Source organism: Homo sapiens, chromosome 1 (genome assembly GCF_000001405.40).
Source record: "Homo sapiens chromosome 1, GRCh38.p14 Primary Assembly".
Classification (NCBI taxonomy): domain Eukaryota; kingdom Metazoa; phylum Chordata; class Mammalia; order Primates; family Hominidae; genus Homo; species Homo sapiens.
Genome location: NC_000001.11, coordinates 168,282,909 through 168,301,329, shown reverse-complemented (window position 1 = coordinate 168,301,329; position 18,421 = coordinate 168,282,909). Strand labels below are relative to the sequence as shown.

The window sequence follows — 18,421 nt, the reverse complement described above, 5'->3', positions numbered from 1 at the left end:
GACTGGGCCATTGCACTCCAGCCTGGGCAACAGAGCGAGACTCCATCTCAAAAAAAAAAGAGTGCTTTTCTGAGAGCTGCTTCTCTTTATGCGGCTATACTCCCAGGTCTGTTATGGAAGGTGCAGTAAGATTGAAGGGAAGGAAGAAGTAAAGAACTCTGCAGCTGGCAAACTGCATAAGGGATCTTTGCAAGCCAATATAATCCAAATTAAAGAGGGTTTCAGACATCAGGGTTAACTTTCCTACTCTGATGTCACTGATCGTGGGTTGCATTGCAGCTGCAGAGGATTCCCTCCACCATCCTGGGACATGGACAAGGTAACACCCTGATGGGAACATCCAACACTACCTTCAGAATCCCAGCTATATTACTCCACCTCTTCCTACAGCCTTCCAGCCCACAAATAAAGACTCTTCCCCATGGAGGCTACAGCCTGCATGACACATTGCTATGGGAACCAACTCCAAAATTAGCAAACACTAAGAACAGGAGAACTCCAAAACAGAGAGACCAGAGTGGCAAGCATAACGTTAGGAGGCAAGCCGAGAACACACTGTTGAGGGCTCAGAGCCTTACTGACAAGAAAACCAGAGTCTAAGAAATTCATCATTTTCATTCTTATCTCCTGCCTAAGACTTTTTTAAGTCTCTTAAGCCTAGGACCATTGGCTCTCTCTCTGGAATTCTGGAAAGGGCACAAATTTGTCCTTAATAGAATAAACTGTGTGTTGGGTTTTGATTTGGAAGTCCTTAAGCAGTCCTGACAGGCAAAGAGTCTGAGTGTGGAAGGAGCTGGCTCCAGGTACAGCCCCACGCACCTCCCGCCTCATGTACACCCAACTCACAGTGAGAATAGGTCACATGCTGGCTCTCAGAGATAGCCTCCGGTACGTCTCTTAGGTGATTTCTGAAAGAGTAAAGAAAATGCACCATGGCTGTCCAACTTTTTATGTATGTCCACTATAAAGCATACCCAAAATTCTCCTTGAAGAGCAATCAATTTCTTAGAATAAGAAAACCAAACACCTTTTTCCTAAGCTCCTGTCCTTCCCCATTCTCCTTCCTTCGGGGTGCTGTCTCTACTTGTGCAATTGCTCTTGGAGTTGCAGTTTTACTGTTTACCCCTCTTTACCACATTTACAGCTATCCCTGTTTATTTTGATCTGAATAATTTGGGGATATTGCTCCTGACTGACAAGATTCAAGCAATAATAACAGCACAATTCCATGGCACAATTACATATGTGATATGCTAGATCCACCAATGACCCTGTGAGGGAAATATTAACATATTTTTCTAATTTTGTAGATTAGAAAAGTGGATCTCGAGGAGGTAAACTGACTTATGCAAGAACAAACAGCCAGTAAATTACAGAGCAAGGATTCAGTCAGGACCTCTTACTCAAAGTCCTAAATTCTTTGTATTATACCATGCTACTGTCACTTTGAATCTAGATTGTGTCATCTCACATATCAGTTTATCCTTTAGGCCTTTTGTTAACTGAAAACGTTATAAGTGTGTCTTGTATATCATCATAATTTATTCCAATATTGGAGCTAGGCACAGTAGCTCACTCCTGCAATCTCAGCAACTAAGGAGGCGGAGGCAGGAGGATCACTTGAGGCCAGGAGTTTGAGACTGTCTGGGCAACATACTGAGAGCCCCTGTCTCTTTAAAAAAAACACATAGCCAGGCATGGTGGCACATGCCTGTAGTCCCCACTACTTGGGAGGCTGAAGCAGGAGGATAGCTTGAGCCCAGGAATTTAAGGCTGCAATGAGCTATATCACACCACTGTACTCCAGTCCGCGTGATAGAGCAAGACCCCATCTCTAAAATAATAATAATAATATATTCAAATATTGGACAGGACAGGGTCATGTGATGCATCATTATGAACATCTGTCCATTAATCTAGAGCCTTATCAGAGCCTTTAAGGTGAACAGGAAAGATTAGACAGTTATAAAAACTATTTAAAAGATTTGAAACTCAAGCAATAAAATCTGAACATTAAAAAGATAATCATATTATACTGTAGGCTTTGTCAATTAAAAAGTCAGTGATAAGCACCATCATCTTCTTTTTCCTGGGATGCAAAAGACATAGAGTCTGGGCACGGTGGCTCAAGCCTGTCATCTCAGCAATTTGGGAGGCCGAGGCGAGTGGATGACCTGAGGTCAGGAGTTCAAGACCAGCCTGGCCAACATGGCAAAACCCTGTCTCCACTAAAAATAAAACATAAAAAATTAGCTGGGCATGGTGGTGGCCACCTGTAATCCCAGCTACTAGGGAGGCTGAGACATGAGAATCGCTTGCACCCAGGAAGCAGAAGTTGCAGTGAGCCAAGATAGTGCCACTCCAGCCTGACTCTGTCTCAAAAAAAAAAAAGAAAGAAGGAAGGAAGAATGAAAGAAAGAGAGAGAGAGAGAAAGAAAGAAAGAAAGAAAGAAAGAAAGAAAGAAAGAAAGAAAGAAAGAAAGAAAGAAAGAAAGAAAGAAAGAAAGGAAGGGAGGGAGGGAGGGAGGGGAGGAGAGGAGAGGAGGGAGGGAAGGGAAGGGAAGGGAATGGAAGGGAAGGGAAGAAGGAAAGCTAGGAAGGAAAGGAAGGAAAGGAGGGAAGCAAAGGAAGGAAGGAAAGGAAGAAAGAAAAAGAAGGAAGGAAGGAAAAGAAGGAAAGGGAAAGAAGGGAAAGAAAGAAAGGAAAAAAGAGAGAAAGGAAGGAAGAAAGAAAAGATATAGAGATGGCAGGTCGCTGCCCCGAAGTAGCAGAATCATCACTCATACCCCCAGAAGTCTCCGACTTCTTTTCTCAGCAGAGGAAATGTGAACCTGTCTCCATTTTTCACTTTTCCTAGGCTAAATGTAGTTTTAAAAAAGCAATTTATTAATGCCATGCTACTCAGAAGTAATTAGGAAAAAGGCAGAGTGAATTATTATAAATCTAAATCATTTAATTTTTTTAATGTGATTGTGCTACTTTCAAGAATTCATAGTAAAACAGGTCTTTAAAAAAAATTGTTAGTTAACAGTTCTCCCGGATCCCTATTATAACGAATAGATAATTATGATTTGAATTTTCTAGATGTTGTTGAATATTGAATTGAATATTGAAAGCCTATTTCTTTTTTTTCTGAGACGGAGTCTCGCTCTGTCGCCCAGGCTGGAATGCAGTGGCGCCATCTCGGCTCACTGCAAGCTCCGCCTCCCGGGTTCACGCCATTCTCCTGCCTCAGCCTCCCGAGTAGCTGGGACTACAGGCGCCCGCCACCACACCCGGCTAATTTTTTGCATTTTTAGTAGAGACGGGGTTTCACCATGTTAGCCAGGATGGTCTCGATCTCCTGATCTCGTAATCTGCCCGCCTCGGCCTCCCAAAGTGCTGGGATTACAGGCATGAGCCACCGCACCTGGCCGAAAGCCTATTTCTATAAAAGGTAATGAAAGTGCTACTAGTCTAGTTCCTTTCAAGATAATCATAAATTCCACATTTGTATTTGCATAAATCATTCATTAGAAGATTTCACTAAAATTTCTTTACTTACCTTTCCTTGGCATCCAAGAAGGCTTTGGCAAAAGGATTGTACTTGATTTTGAGAGCCGTTATCTTGCATTTACAAAGACAAGAAGTGTTAGTAAAAGTAGGATACACATGGGCAAACAGAACCCTTTGTCTTCTGTAAAACCAGTTTAATTCCCTCTCTTTTCCTTCCCTTTCCCACCAGGCACGATGGCTTATGCCTGTAATCCCAGCACTCTGAGAGGCAGAGGCCCTTTCCATCTTTGCTTACTCCAGCACTTAATCACCACTGCGCTGTCTCTGGCAAAGGACATTTTATCATTGCATGTGGTGAAAATGCTAATGCCATGTAAAGTGAGAAAAGAAAGGGCAAAACACTGGAAATGAGCAAAGCCCTGATGTGCGAAACCTAGCATTCATTTTTTTACTCATGTATTTATTTTTTTCAACAATCCTTGATCCCCTACTACATGTGATTTACTTTTCTAGTTACTTGGTACACAGTGGAGAGCAGCACAGGTGTGATCCTGCCCCTCTGGATGAGTGCCATCTAGCATCGAGTCCCTCATTCATAAATAATCACTTACACATGGGGCCATGTCAATGCAAAAAGCAAACTATCACTGCCATTCACTGTCACTCTCTGTATCTGCCTTAGCCTGAGCCTGCTTCATTTCTCATTAGAGACATCTGACGTATAGATAGATAGTGATCGTGATAGAGATAAAACAGATAGATAGAGACAAAGAAATATTTATTTTTCATCTCTCCCCACTGGGATGTAAGTGCCTTGAAGACAGGGTATTCATCTGTTTTATTCATTGCAGTATTTCCAGCATCTAGAACAATATCCAGCATGTAGTAATGCCCAGCAAATATTTGTTGAGTAAATAAATATTTACAGAATATATATATACACACACATATATATATATTTTTTTTGAGACGGGAGTCTTGCTCCCAGGCTGGAGTACAGTAGCTCAATCTTGGCTCACTTCAACCTCTGCCACCTGGGTTCAAGTGATTTTCCTGCCTCAGCCTCCCAAAGTGCTGGGATTACAGGCATGAGCCACCACACCCAGCTCACAGAATATTTATGTCAGCAAGGATCTGAGACTTGATGGAAGAAGGAAAGCAAAATAAGACCCAGATATGGTTTGGCTATGTCCCTACCCAAATTTCATCTTGAATTGTAGCTCCCATAATTCCCACGTGTTGTGGGACGGTCCCGGTGGGAGATAACTGAATCATGAGGGCAGCTTCCCCCATACTGTTCTCGTGGTAGTGAATAAGTCTCACGAGATCTGATGGTTTTATAAGGGGTTTCCCCTTTCTCTTGGCTCTCATTCTCTTTGCCTGTCACCATGTAAGATGTGTCTTTTGCCTTCCACCATGATTGAGGCCTCCCCAGCCATGTGGAACTGTGAGTCCATTAAACTTCTTTTTCTTTATAAATTACCCAGTCTCAGGTATGTCTTTATTAGCAGCGTGAAAATGGGCTAATACAGAGCCCAACTCCTTCTGGCTCAGAACTTGTGAGAAGAAATCAGGAGAAAGAGGAAAAAGAGGTGTGGGGTCAGATAGGTACAACCTGGTCTTTCTCTTGGCTTAAACCTGGAGAGGTAGAAAAGCATACAAGAAGCTAGCAGGGGGTGCAAAGGAAACACTGGCCTCCTTCACCCACCCCCACGCCCACTCGCCACTCGGGGTGCATCTGCATGGACTTGGCAGGGAAGCTTTGTTGGCAGAGGGAGGCACTGGGGCTAGGCTTTCCAGAGCTTGATTGCCATGGAGCATGTTCAAGACCCAGGAGTAGCGAGTCAGGCCGGGAGATTGCTGGATGGGTCAAAAATGACCAGTCAGGTGGTTCAAAGAGAACTGTCCAGCACCTGCAGCCAGGAAAAGCTTCTGAGGGTTTACCAAGTCAGCAGCCAAATGACAAGTTCCGCACACCACCAACTAAACCAACAGCACACCAGTGGGCAGGGGCCTTGCCGGGAGACCAGAGGAGGTTAGGACATGGTCTCCAATTCCACATGCACCCCCCACCACCCCGTTTCCCAGAGTTACAAAGGCCATACCTCCCCTCATAGACCCAGACTCCAGCCCAGGGAGAAAAGCTGGGAGAGAGGGCTATCTGCAAAATGGAATTACTTTATCATCGAAAGACTGGCCACCAGCTGAGGGACTGTTTACATTATTAGCTAGTTCATTTCTGTTTCCATTGACTGGCTGCAGGGGCTCTGCCAAGAGGCCAGTTTACTTATAGAAATGACATTTTCTCTGCACATCTGTGATGTGAGTTAAATCTGCAACTTCATTTCACCTGTAGGCACAAGACAGTAGCTTCCAAACCTGGATGATCAATAGAATCCTCTGGGGAGACTTTTAAATCTACAGAATCTGAGCATCATCCTTGGAGATTCTGACTCAGTTGGCTGAGTGGCAGCCCAAAATCTGTCTTTAAAGCTTCCAAATAAATATAGATGGAAGCAACAACAAGATCTTTTTTTTTTTCCTGAGACCAAGTCTTGCTCTCTCACCCAGGATGGAGTGCAGTGGCGCAATCTCGGCTCACTGCAACCTCCGCCTCCCAGGTTCAAGCAATTCTCCTGCCTCAGCCTCCCGAGTAGCTGGGATTACAGGCACCCGCCACTGCACCCAGCTAATTTTTGTATTTTTAGTGGAGACGGGGTTTCACCAGGTTGGCCAGGCTGGTCTGGAACTCCTGACCTCATGATCTGCCCGCCTTGGCCTCCCAAAGTGCTGGGATTAGAGACGTGAGCCACCACGTCCGGCCAAGATCTTATTTTTTTTAACCTATTAGAGTGTCAAAGATGACAAAGATTGATAATAGTGTTGATCATGGTGTTGGGGCTACAAATAGAGATGCCATTTTGAGGGAAGCAATTTGGCCATGTCTATCTGTTTCTAGGTGTTCACCCACGCAAGCAAATGACAGATGCACCAGGATATTCATTGCAGCATTATCTATAATAGAAAATAAAGGGCCGGGCACGGTGGTTCACACCTGTAATCCCAACACTTTGGGAAGCCGAGGTGGATGGATCACCTGAGGTCAGGAGTTCGAGACCTGCCTGGCCAACATAGTGAAACCCTGTCTCTACTAAAAATACAAAAATTACCCAGGAGTGGTGGTGCATGTCTGTAGTCCCAGCTACTTGGGAGGCTGAGGCAGGAGAATCACTTGAATCTCAGAGGCAGAGGTTGCAGTGAGCTGAGATCACACCACTGCACTCCAGCCTGGGTGACAGAGTGAGACTCTGTCTCAAAAAAAAACAAAAAAAAATTAGCCAGGCGTGGTGGCAGGTGCCTGTAATCCTAGCTACTCGGAAGGCTGAGGCAGGAGAATCGCTTGAACCTAGGAGGCAGAGGTTGCAGTGAGCTGAGATCACACCATTGCACTCCAGCCTGCGCAACAAGAGTGAAACTCTGTCTCAAAAAAAAAAAAGAAAACAGTTGGAAACAACTTAAATGTCCATTGGTGGGGGGCTGATTACGTGAAATAGTGTATTCATACAATGAAATATTCTGCAGGCACTACAGAAAAGGAGATATACCTAGGTATAATTACATAGAAAGGTAATCATAATACACCCTTAAACTGAGGAAAAAGAAATTTGCAGATTAATAATATATACAACATGAGCCAATTTATGTGAGGAAATCTACATTCACATATATATTTACATATACATAGAAAATTTGTCAAAAAGACACACTCTAAGTTATTCTTCGTCGTGTCCATGGGGAGTGAGTTTCCAAAAGCGGAAGAAACCCGTATAGCTTTACCCTGTAGTCTTCATGTTTACTTTATATACTTCTGTACTGTCAGTTTATTATGTGTTTTTAAATAAATAAATATTGTCTTTAAAAAATTTTTTTAAAGTTTAATCAAAAAGAATTCAACCCTCCCTGGGTTCTTCTGATTATCAGCAGATCATGTGAACGGACCCAAAGCAGCTCACAGACAGGCCAGGCGCTAACCACTCAGCCCTCACAGCCAGGCGGCTCAAGTCACTGGGCAGCAGCAGACTAACTGTGCTGATATTGAACATTAACAAGCAGTAATGATAGCATAATAAAACCCAAGGGAGGGTGCATGTTTGGATCACTTGCTACAGACTTGCTTCTAGAGCAGGAGACCTGACAGCTCCTGCCCAATTGTACCCACTCAAGACACACTCAGCTCTGCACAGGCCAAGGACACATAGGGTCCTGACAACAAAGACTCCAGAGTTTCAACAGAACTCAGGAGTTTCATGACAATGCACAGCTGTGTCTTGTTGGCACCAGGAGAGCACATGCTGGTGAGCCTTTAGCAAACAGCCAAGAGGGAGGGAGAGCAGCTACTCCATTGTTTAACTTCATGTCTGCTGAGTGTATCCAAATCCTGGAAAACCTACCTTTCATCTAAAAGGACCCCCCCCGCCCATCCTGCCATGATCTCCCAGGTGACAGTTACACACACACACACACACACACACACACACACACACACACACTCTTACCTCCTCATTCTGATAGGCAGTCACGGCTATGAACTGGGTTTCAGGGAAGGAGCAGTTTGTTACCATTCGATGGGCACTTCCAACACGCACTATGTGAACCTGGGGTTCATATTTATGCAGAGAATTCAACATTATCTGTCGAGGCAGGAGAAGAGAAAGAGGAGAAAAGCAAAGCCCCGTGTATCGCAGGTGATAAAGGAGCCAGCATCTCCAGTTGGTCCCAAGCTTAGCACCACCCCGGTTAGGGACACACATTTCAAATCCTAGGCCACCTGAGCTGCCACCACACCTCTAAGAAACAAATGAAGGGAATTTTCCAGAAGCTCCAGGAAGCATAACATTGAAGCCTTTACAAGGGTGAGGGGTGGGTTGTCAGAGAGGAGCTATTCCTTTTTTTTTTTTTTTTTTTTTTTTTGAGACGGAGTCTCGCTCTGTCACCCAGGCTGGAGTGCAGTGGCGCTATCTCAGCTCACTGCAAGCTCCGCCTCCCGGGTTCACGCCATTCTCCTGCCTCAGCCTCCCGAGTAGCTGGGACTACAGGCGCCCGCCACCACGCCCGGCTAATTTTTTGTATTTTTAGTAGAGACGGGGTTTCACCACATTAGCCAGGATGGTCTCGATCTCCTGACCTCGTGATCCGCCCACTTCGGCCTCCCAAAGTGCTGGGATTACAGGCGCGAGCCACCGCGCCCGGCTGAGGAGTTATTCTTAAGAGTGTTCAGTTTTCTGCCAAAATCTTGGCTTCCTTTTTTCCTTCCCCTATTTTCAGCACAACAGTGTGGATTTCAATCCATCAAAATATATTGTTTGCCTTTTTTTCATTTGAGGAATCCTAATAACTCAAAATGCTGACAATGGGTGCATTTTCCAAGTGACTAAAGAATGGCAAAATCTGGCATCTGATGGCTACACTCTCTCTGAGTCAAATGAAAGGTGTAATGACAGTCTCCTGCTGTGAAATCTGGTAGGCAGTAACAATTTACTGTTCAATTTCCCGTTTTAATAAGGAACTGGAAGCTTCTGAGTATCACAGACTCGGGTAGTGTTACCTCTGGACACATGAACTCCTATGGTCCCTGCCATCTGAGCACAGAGATCAGAGAAGGGGCACATGGGCACAGGGTGGGAGGCTGAGGGAAAGCCAAACAGGCAGGTGGGAAAGAGAAGAATCCAGACCCTTTACTCCCATCTGTGTCTCCAATCCCCAGAAACTGCCTACATTACAGAAAGTAACTAGCAACCTTCTATAGCAGACTAGTATTCACAATCCTAACACAGAAAACAAGAGGAAAAAGCCCCAAATGCTTGTTTACTCTAATTGGAGACCTGAAATAAAACCTTCCTTGTTTAAGGAAGGTTTGTTTGGATTTTTTTTTCCTGAAAAACCAAAGCTGATTCAATATTCTATTGATAATTATCATAATGCCCAAGTGGAGGTAGTAATTATTTCATTTAGAAGCAGCTTTTTATGAAGGTATTTGTCTATTGCCAGCATGCCACTTATACTAAAAAAGGGGAGAGGGACTAACAAAACCCTGGTACCCACAAACATCTCCCTCCTAGAGCTGGGTAAAAAGCACAGCACACAAGACGAAACTATGAAAAGGGCCCCGGTGATTAAGTAAACCACTGCTCTCTCACTCTCTTAACATCAGGAAGTCCATTAAAAACTGAAAGCACCAATTAAGAGCTGTTTATTCTTGTTTACATTTGGACTCCCGGGAATAATTGGCTTCTGTGGGAGAAGAGGCTGGTGAGGACACCTCTAATTGCCTAAATGCACCCTTGATATTTCTTGATTGGTGTTGTGGGGAGGCCGGAGCGGGTGGCCAGGCCTGCCCGCCTCATTCGTACCTGCCCGCCTCCATTGAGCTTGTTGGTCAGCTTCACTTTGCTGAAGGAGATGGGAGCTTTCATCCAGTGGGCCCCAAAGTTGGGGGAGTCCGGGTGAATGTAGACGCAGCTGTGGCTGGAGACCTCTGGCTTGCCAGCGGGCACCCATTCCCCGTTGACGTACTTCCAGCGGTGACTGTCCGTAGGGACAAAGTCCAGCAGGAGGGAGTACATGGCATTGGGGTCCAACCCTGTGACACTAATCTTTAGGACTGGAAACATCCGTCTAAAAGGAAAGGCAGAAACTTAGCCACAGGAGGGACGTTAGAGGAACTCTCACCTTGTCCAGGGGCCTCTCAATACTGAGACCTTCCACGGAATGCCCTGTGAGGAGGCCAAATAAACAGGGCCCAAGTCCACAACCCCAATTCTACTGGAGCTTCTTTTTATAAATGAATTTAATACTAGGGTTTCACTTTAAAACATGCTCCGTTTTAAAGTCTGAAAACCACTGATGGAGTCATTTGACACAACAGGAACCTGAAGCCCAAGATGTATCAAATGCCACATCCCCACAGAAAGCTCTCTTCAAAGATTTCCCACTGGCACACTGATGCCACTGACCAGCCCTTCCCAACCTCACAAAGAACACTATTTCTGAATAATAGTAATAGCATTTATAGCAAAACATGCCAGCCTGGGCAACATAGTGAGACACCCCCATCTCAAAAAAAAAAGAAATTAGCTGGGCATGGTAATCCCAGTTATTCGGGAGGCTGAGGTGGGAGGATTGCTTGAGCACAGGAGTTAGAGGCTGCAGTGAGCTGTGATGGTGCCACTGCACTCCAGCCTGGGTGACAGAGTGAGACCCTGTCTCAAAAAAACAAGAACAGGGTTACATGTTAAGTCAGTGAGAGGAACTCTTAACTGTACAAAGTGAGACCAGTTCTTTCCTCCAGGATGCCTCAGGCAGGGCCTTTAACATACCCATGTACACCATGGGACTCTTTGAAGAAAGCGTGGGGACGTGCACACCCTAAATGTATGTGACAGTGGGATTATCATTTAACTAAGCATTTTATGAGAATTTGTGTCCAAAGAACACACTTTGAGACATGCAGATCTAGATTCATCGATCCTTCTTCTACATGCTAGAATAATAACAACAAGTTTACTCTCACAAATATTTGGAGAAACTATCCAAGTAGCTGGCTTATAAGTCTAGAGCATTTTCATCATCCCGAAAAGAAACCCCACGGCCATTAGCAGTTACTCCCTATTCTATTTAGACTTCTTTTTTTTTCAGATGGAGTCTCTGCCTCCTGGGTTCAAGTGATTCTCCTGCCTCAGCCTCCAGGAGAGTAGCTGGGATTACAGATGTGTGCCACCACGCCTGGCTAATTTTTGGATTTTTAGTAGAGACAGGGTTTCACCATGTTGGCCAGGCTGGTCTCAAACTCTCAACCTCAGGCGATCCACCTGCCTCAGACTCCCAAAGTGCTGAAATTACAGGTGTGAGCCACCATGCTTGGCCTCTATTTAGACTTCATATCACCAGAAAAACAGCACAGAGAAGTAGTTTCTGCCTGCTAGGCAGGAGAGAGGCAGAGTTGATGTCCTTTGTGATTCCAACTCCAAAGTCACTGCCTAAGGTAAGATTTTGGAGCCAAAGCAAGGCCAGGCCAGCCGAAGGGCTTGGGTGTAATGGTAATACGGCCAACACTTACAGAGCACTCACTAGGTGCCAGGCATGGGAATAAGCACTTTGCATGAACTAACTCAGTGAGTTCTTCACAACAACTTTATGAGGCTGTGTTGGTGTGTTCAAGGAGAGAAAATTAATTTAAATGGGAGGCTAGGACAAGTATATAAATTAAGTAAAATTTCTAGGGAGAAAAATGCATCAGACGATGCATTCCAAATCCAGGTCTTCGCTGAGAACTGCATTATCCACCTCAACACTCCTCGTCCCTTAGTGAGATGATTGCACTTTTACATTAACTAAAATGATACACCTCCTCTAGGGCGGCTGCCTGTGTGATGTAAAATCTTCATGTTGCATTTTCTTTTGTTCTTTCTTCAATAGAAGGATTATTGTCTTTTATTTTCTCCTACTATCAGATTAAACGATTCCCTTTTACGATATATTTTAATGTTTTCAATTATGTTAATAATATTGGCCAAGTGTAGAAAACAGAAGGATCCTGAGAACACAAATGCCGTTTGCAAAGAATCATAAAAGTGGGCATCAGAAATGATTCTAGGGATCATATAGGGTTATTCTGACAGCCAGGAGTCAGACCCGTTTATACGAGGTATATGGAGACATGGTCTCTGTGTTCTGGTCCAGTGTTTCTTCTGAAGTACTAAAGTTTACTTTTTATATTATTTTAAAGAAAACACAAGAGTGGCATGTGTATAATTGTCATTTTGCATACTAAAGTTAAAAAGTACCAAAGGAGTTTAAGTCCAGCCTGGGCAACATGGCAAAACCCCATCTCCATAAAAAATACAAAATTTAGCCAGGCATGGTGGTGCACACCTGTAGTTCCAGCTATTGGGGAGGCTGAAGCAGGAGGATCACTTGAGCATGGAAGGTCGGGGCTGTAGTGAGCTATTATCACACCACTGTACTCCAGGCTGGGTGATAGAGTGAGACTGTGTCTCAAAAAAAAAAAGTACCAAAACTTTTCTCAATAAGACTATATAGTACACATAAAAGTAAGAACAAAAACTCATAAAACATATAATATATTACTCATGCACTAAATTGCCAGAGTAATGATGCAATTGTTCAAGCATGAGAGCATGGCTGGTGTCTTCATGATAAGAAATGTCAGGATGTTTCATAAAGTTCTGACTTATGATTTAAGAAATGACTTAAGGCGAGACACTTTTGTTTGTTTTATTTTTATTTAAAGGTGTGTGACTGTGTTGCCCAGGCTGCTTTCAAATTCCTGGGCTCAACTCCTACCTCAGCCTCCCAAAGTGCTGGGACTACAGGTGCAAGCCACAGTGCCTAACCGCAAGATTGTTTTTCTAATGATAATAGTTATCATGTACAGTCAGGCCTCCACATTCCCAGGGTCTGCATCTGTAGATTCAACCAAATGCAAATTGAAAAATTTGAAAAGAAATAATACAACAATAAAAAATAATACAAAAAAAAAATATGGCATAACTATTTACATAGCATTAACATTGTATTACGTATTGTAAATAATCCAGAAATAACTTAAGTATATGGGAGGATGTGCATAGGTTATATGCAAAATATTCTAGTCCATTTTATATAAGGAACTTCAGCATCCTCAGATTTTGATATTTGCAGGGGCCTGGAAACAATCCTCTGCGGATGCCAAGGGATGGCTGTACTGAGTTTTACTCTGCACCTAGGACTTTGCGTAGGTGAATATTTCACTTAAGTGAAATACAACTTAAGTCTTACTTCACCCACAAGGAGGTTATTATGCCAATTTTATAGATGAGGAAACTGGGACTCAGAAAGCACACATTACATTTCATTCACTACTCCTTTTTTTTTTTTTTACTCTCTTTTCCTTTCTTATTAGCTTCTCAAAGCTAACATGGTTGAGCCACAGTGAAAGGAAAAGTCCCCCTCAAAGTTTTCCCAAATCTTAATACCTACTTAGAGATTTATTTGCCCATTTGACAAATGGTTTTTTAGTGCCTGCTCTATCCCAGGAACTGTTCTAGGTGGGAATTCAATGACAAAAATTGCAGACCCAGTATCTTCTTGTTCATGAAGCTTACATTCTAACAAAGAAGTCAGGCAACAAACATGTCAATAAATCTTTGTTGTTTCTTAACATGTAAGATCATTTGGGGCTGGGTGTGGTGGCTCATGCCAATAATCCCAGCACTTTGAGAGGCCAAGATGGGAGGATCACTTGAGGCCCAGAGTTTGAGACCAGTCTGGTCAATTTAGCGAGACCCCATCTCTATTAAAAAAAAAATCATTTCAAATTGCAAGAGTGACATGAAGGAACTAAAATGCATGATGTCACAGAAGGAGACTAAAGGATGAGAAGCTACTTTAGCCATATCTGAACAGGAAGTGACATTTGAGCTAAGACCTAAATAATGAGAAGGAATGACTCATGCAAAATGTTAGAGGAGGTGCACTTAGAGGCAAAGGAAATAGCAAGTACAATGGCCCTTAGATTTAAATAGCCCCACTCTATTCAGAAACTAAAAGAGAAGACCAAAGTGGCTGAGGCAAAGTAAGGGGAAAATTCCAATTATTATCCTCACTGCTAATAGGTTAGAGTGCCCTCCTCTTAACTCTCTCAACTATATTATGTGAGGTCTCATAAAGAGTGTAGCATGACTTTTCGTTCCAGAATAAGAAAATGTGTAATGGCTTTCCATCTTTCATGCTATGGTCAGAGCTGTACCTGATGTTTCAAAGAAGCCATGATCAATCAAAAGATGCTTAACCTCATCAGCCATCAGAGAAATGCAAAATCCAAACCACAGTGAGATGCCACTTCATGGCCACTAGGATGGCTGCAATATGAAAAGCAGACAATAAAAAGCATTGGTGAAGATGTAGAGAAATTGGAATCCTCATACATTGCTGGCAGGGATGTAAAATGATGCAGCCACTTTGGAAAATACTCTGGCAGTTCCTCACTTGGTTAAATATACAGTTTCTCAATAATCCAGCAATTCCACTCCTAGGTATATACACAAGAAAAATGAAAACATAGCTCCATGCAAACATTTGTACACAGAGGTACATAGCAACATTATGCATAATAGCTAAAATGTAGAAAAATGCAAATGTCCATGAACTGATGAAGGATAAATAAAATGTGTTATATCCATACAATGGAGTATTTGTCAATAAAAAAGATGAAGTGCTGATACATGCTACAACATTGATGAACCTTGACCACATTACGCTAAGTAAAAGAAGTTGTTGACAAAGGACCACATATTGTATGATTCCCAGGATATCAAATGTCCATGATATGAAATAGGTAACTCTATAGAAACAGAAAGTAGATTAGTGGTTGCCAGAGGAGGTGACTGCTAAGGGCGCAGGGCTTCCTTTTGAAGCAATAAAAATGTTCTAAAATTAATTGTGGAGATGGATGCACAACTCTGCGAATTACTGAGAACCACTGAACTATACACTTCAAATGGATGAGCTGTATGGCATGTGAATTATATCATCACAAAGCTGTTAATAAAAACAAAGAAGTCACAGTGTCTTGTCTCTTAGAAGGAGGACATATCTGGGAAATGGTAGAATGATTAATTGCTCTATTTTCTTTAGTATTGCATTTGCCAAGAACTTTATAATTATTTTTTGTTTTTATCACTACGTAAATAAACTGAGAAATGACTATTTTTTAATCCATTCCCTATTTTAATACATTTTTTAATACATTCCCTATTATGGCAATGAGGAATAAATAAAAGTCAGTCAACTTGCCTAAGGTCTTGTAACTGGGAATGGAACTCACCCTGCCTCCAAGCCAAGTTCCCCTCCTCCCACCCCACTTTCCCCTCTTTTGTCTCACAATGACAGGGATGCATTATCTAGGGATCCAGTAACTAATTGATCTGTGATTACCACTCGTGATCAGGCTTTATTTTCAGGAATTAACTGCACTTCCAATCAAGGTGATTTTTTTCCCCATTTTTTTCCTAGATGTAGCTAACATAGAGAAACCCAGAGTGTGAGGGATAAGAAATATGTAAATCAGTCCCTAAGTAACAGCATAATTTCACTTAATCCACCCTGGAGAGAAAGCCTCCTTGGAGAGAAAGAGAGGAAAATGTGGCAGGGTAAATAAGCACTCCTCAAGAAAACCACACCTGAAGAACCACAGGTGGTTGGGCTTTGCCCATAAACTGTTGGGCTTTTATTATGAGACCAGCTTTCCAGTTTTATTTCACTGACAGGGAATCTCCAGAAGTCAGTGCTGCTGGAGGAGGCTATGAGAAGTGAGGTTTGCAAGAAGAAAGAGGGGCAGAGATGAGGCAGATTTTACAGGTGAGGGAACAGCAGAGAGTTAAAAGCAAATTCAAAAAGTTAAACTTGTAAACACTTTCCTCCATCTCTCCTCAAAACTCTACTATTTATCAAATACTCATCAGAACTTTTAGAGGGGTGTGTGTGTGTGTGTGTGTGTGTGTGTGTGTGTGTGTGACATACATGGTGCATGGATGCTGACATTTATGTGAAGGTGAGCAGGCATAAGAATAGCAACAGGTGTCAATTAAAGATAAATAAACGAAGGGAAAAAAACAACAGCATTAGGGAAGCAAGGTGGCCTGGTTAAAGGCAGATTACATAAATACATATGATCTTCTTGAGCTGTAATTTTAAACTTCAGAGAAAAATACCCATGGGCTGTAGGGACATGGAAATGTATTGGCCTGATGTGCAACTTTACTTTTCTCCTCTCTTGTACTGCCCTTACTGGAGACTATGAACAGCAACTCAGTGGCACTGCACCAATACCCCTTAATCATCAAGCACTGGTGAATCATCGAAACTAATCGGCAAATTTAAACTTAGTAATTCCCACCTCTTATTTTATGATGACAAGAAATATGGCATTTTCCCCTTAGGTGAAAATGTTACAAGTAAAGAAAACAAAAGCAAGAGATTTGATTTTTTTTTTTTTTTTTTTTTTTTTGAGACACGGTCTCACTCTGTTGCCCAGGCTCGTGTGCAGTGGTGTGATCACTGCAACCTTGACCTCCCCAGGGTCAGGTGATCTCCCACCTCAGCCTCCCAAGTAGCTGGGACTACAGGTAGGTGTCACCATGCCCAGCTAATTTTTTGTATTTTTTGGAGAGACAGGGTTTCTCCATGTTGCCCAGGCTGTTCTAAAACTTCTGAGCTCAAGTGATCAACCTACCTGGGCCTCCTGGCTAGTTGTTTAAATTTTTTGTAGAGAAGAAGTCTCCCTATACTGCCCAGTCTGGTTTCAAACTCCTGGGCTCAAGCAATCCTCCCACTTCAGCCTCCCAAAGTTCTGGGATCACAGACATGAGCTGCCATGCTAGCAAGCAATTTAATTTATTAACCTCTGAAGTCTGAAATGAATTCTTTCTGCAAACTAAAGTATAAGTTTCCAGCTTAAAGGATGGACATGAAAGGGAATACTGGCTGGATACACTAGAGATGACTCAAATGAGCTCTAAGGAGGTATTATACTTATTACTGTTATATCTAAAGGACTATTAACTATGAATAACTGAAAGTTTTCAATTTTAAAAAGAGAGGGAGGAAGAAAAGGCTGAAAGGGAAATGAAGTAGTAGAATGGGGGAGGGGAGAGAAAGAAAGAAAAGGAGGAAGAGAGAGAGAGAAAGGAAGGAACGAAAGAAGAGAGGCCAACATCAGGATCCCAGTTTCTGGAGATAATTCCGTGTTTTTCAGAGAAAAGCCTTTCTCTTTACAGCTTCTGATCAATGTCAGAGGCAAGCTTCCTATTTATATATGTGAAAGTAGATCTCCACTTGACAATGAGTCTTTTCACTCTTTCATCGGCCCATCTTACGCTATTTCAAGATTTGCTATTTTAGTGCAGAACAATGAGACCTCAAGTGTATAGGAGTTACCACCCCAAATGATGCTTTTTTAAAAAGTCAAGGTGACAATGTCAATGAAAAAGGGCCCAGGTGACATTATGAATGAAAAAGGCTAGGACTGGGTAATCATACCAGGAACATTCTTCTCCACAGGGAAGGGCCACAAATCTACCTGCACCAGGTGCGGGAGTTGATGTGGAGGGCAAGGATTTGAAGGAGACACAAAGAGTCTATAGACATAGGAGAATGGGTAGAAAGGAGGCATAGAGGAATAAATAGTTAGGGAGAAAAGAGAGAAGGAAGAAGGGAGTAAAGAAGATGAAGCAAGAAAGATGTCTATATTAACAAAGGTAAAGTGTGACTAATGGTTTAATCTGAGAAACTAAGAGGTTGGGGGTAATTTCAGACCAAGTTCATTCATTATTAAGTACATCAATTTCTTATGGACTTGTCTTCCCTTCTTTAATCAAAGTATAAAGGAAACTTTCTATCTCCTGGCAAAATCTTGACCCTAAAGGGCTCCGAGAGCTTAGGAGAATTTAAGAAAAAGATTTCATCTATAGGAAGACGGCAAACACAGCAGGACATCCATAGATAAGAACAGCCAAGTTCACCGCAATCAGACTTTTTCTACAAAGAATATTGTTCATGTAGCTAATATTAAATGACGTTAAAGATGAAGGATTTCATTTTGCTTTTTAAAGACAGGGTCTCACCGTGTTGCCCAGACTGATCCCGGGCTCAAGGACCCCTTGCCTCAGCCTCCTGCGTAGCTGGGACAACAGGAGCACACCACCACACTGGGCTGATGTGAAGAATATTACATTTTAAATATAGGGGAAAATTACATAGGCAATAAAAAGGCAAGATAAAACTTTTCTTAAATGGTAAAAGTACATTCCAATGTAACATATTATTAAATTGGAATTTATCATGGTTTCAGAAACTTTTATTATTTATT

General features: G+C 42.5%; 1 protein-coding gene across 1 annotated transcript in view, besides 2 other annotated features; it reads right to left on the bottom strand.

The window, feature by feature from the left end:
- The window catches only part of TBX19 (T-box transcription factor 19), a 33,550-nt gene that overhangs the window by 13,097 nt on the left and 2,032 nt on the right, over positions 1-18,421 (bottom strand). The window contains exons 2-5 of the mRNA NM_005149.3: positions 9,906-10,170; positions 8,052-8,186; positions 3,545-3,606; positions 847-908 (exon numbers count right to left, since the gene is read on the bottom strand). Of these exons, the coding sequence (NP_005140.1) occupies positions 847-908; positions 3,545-3,606; positions 8,052-8,186; positions 9,906-10,170 (524 nt within the window). The remainder of the gene's footprint in view (positions 1-846; positions 909-3,544; positions 3,607-8,051; positions 8,187-9,905; positions 10,171-18,421) is intronic.
- Positions 9,948-10,519: an enhancer, noted in NCBI's record as "NANOG-H3K4me1 hESC enhancer chr1:168260049-168260620 (GRCh37/hg19 assembly coordinates)". NCBI's record gives its function as "activates a minimal SCP1, AML or CMV promoter by ChIP-STARR-seq in primed H9 embryonic stem cells {active_cell/tissue: H9 hESC(primed)}" and the evidence as "EXISTENCE:reporter gene assay evidence [ECO:0000049][PMID:30033119]".
- Positions 15,644-16,145: an enhancer, noted in NCBI's record as "NANOG-H3K4me1 hESC enhancer chr1:168254423-168254924 (GRCh37/hg19 assembly coordinates)". NCBI's record gives its function as "activates a minimal SCP1, AML or CMV promoter by ChIP-STARR-seq in naive H9 embryonic stem cells {active_cell/tissue: H9 hESC(naive)}" and the evidence as "EXISTENCE:reporter gene assay evidence [ECO:0000049][PMID:30033119]".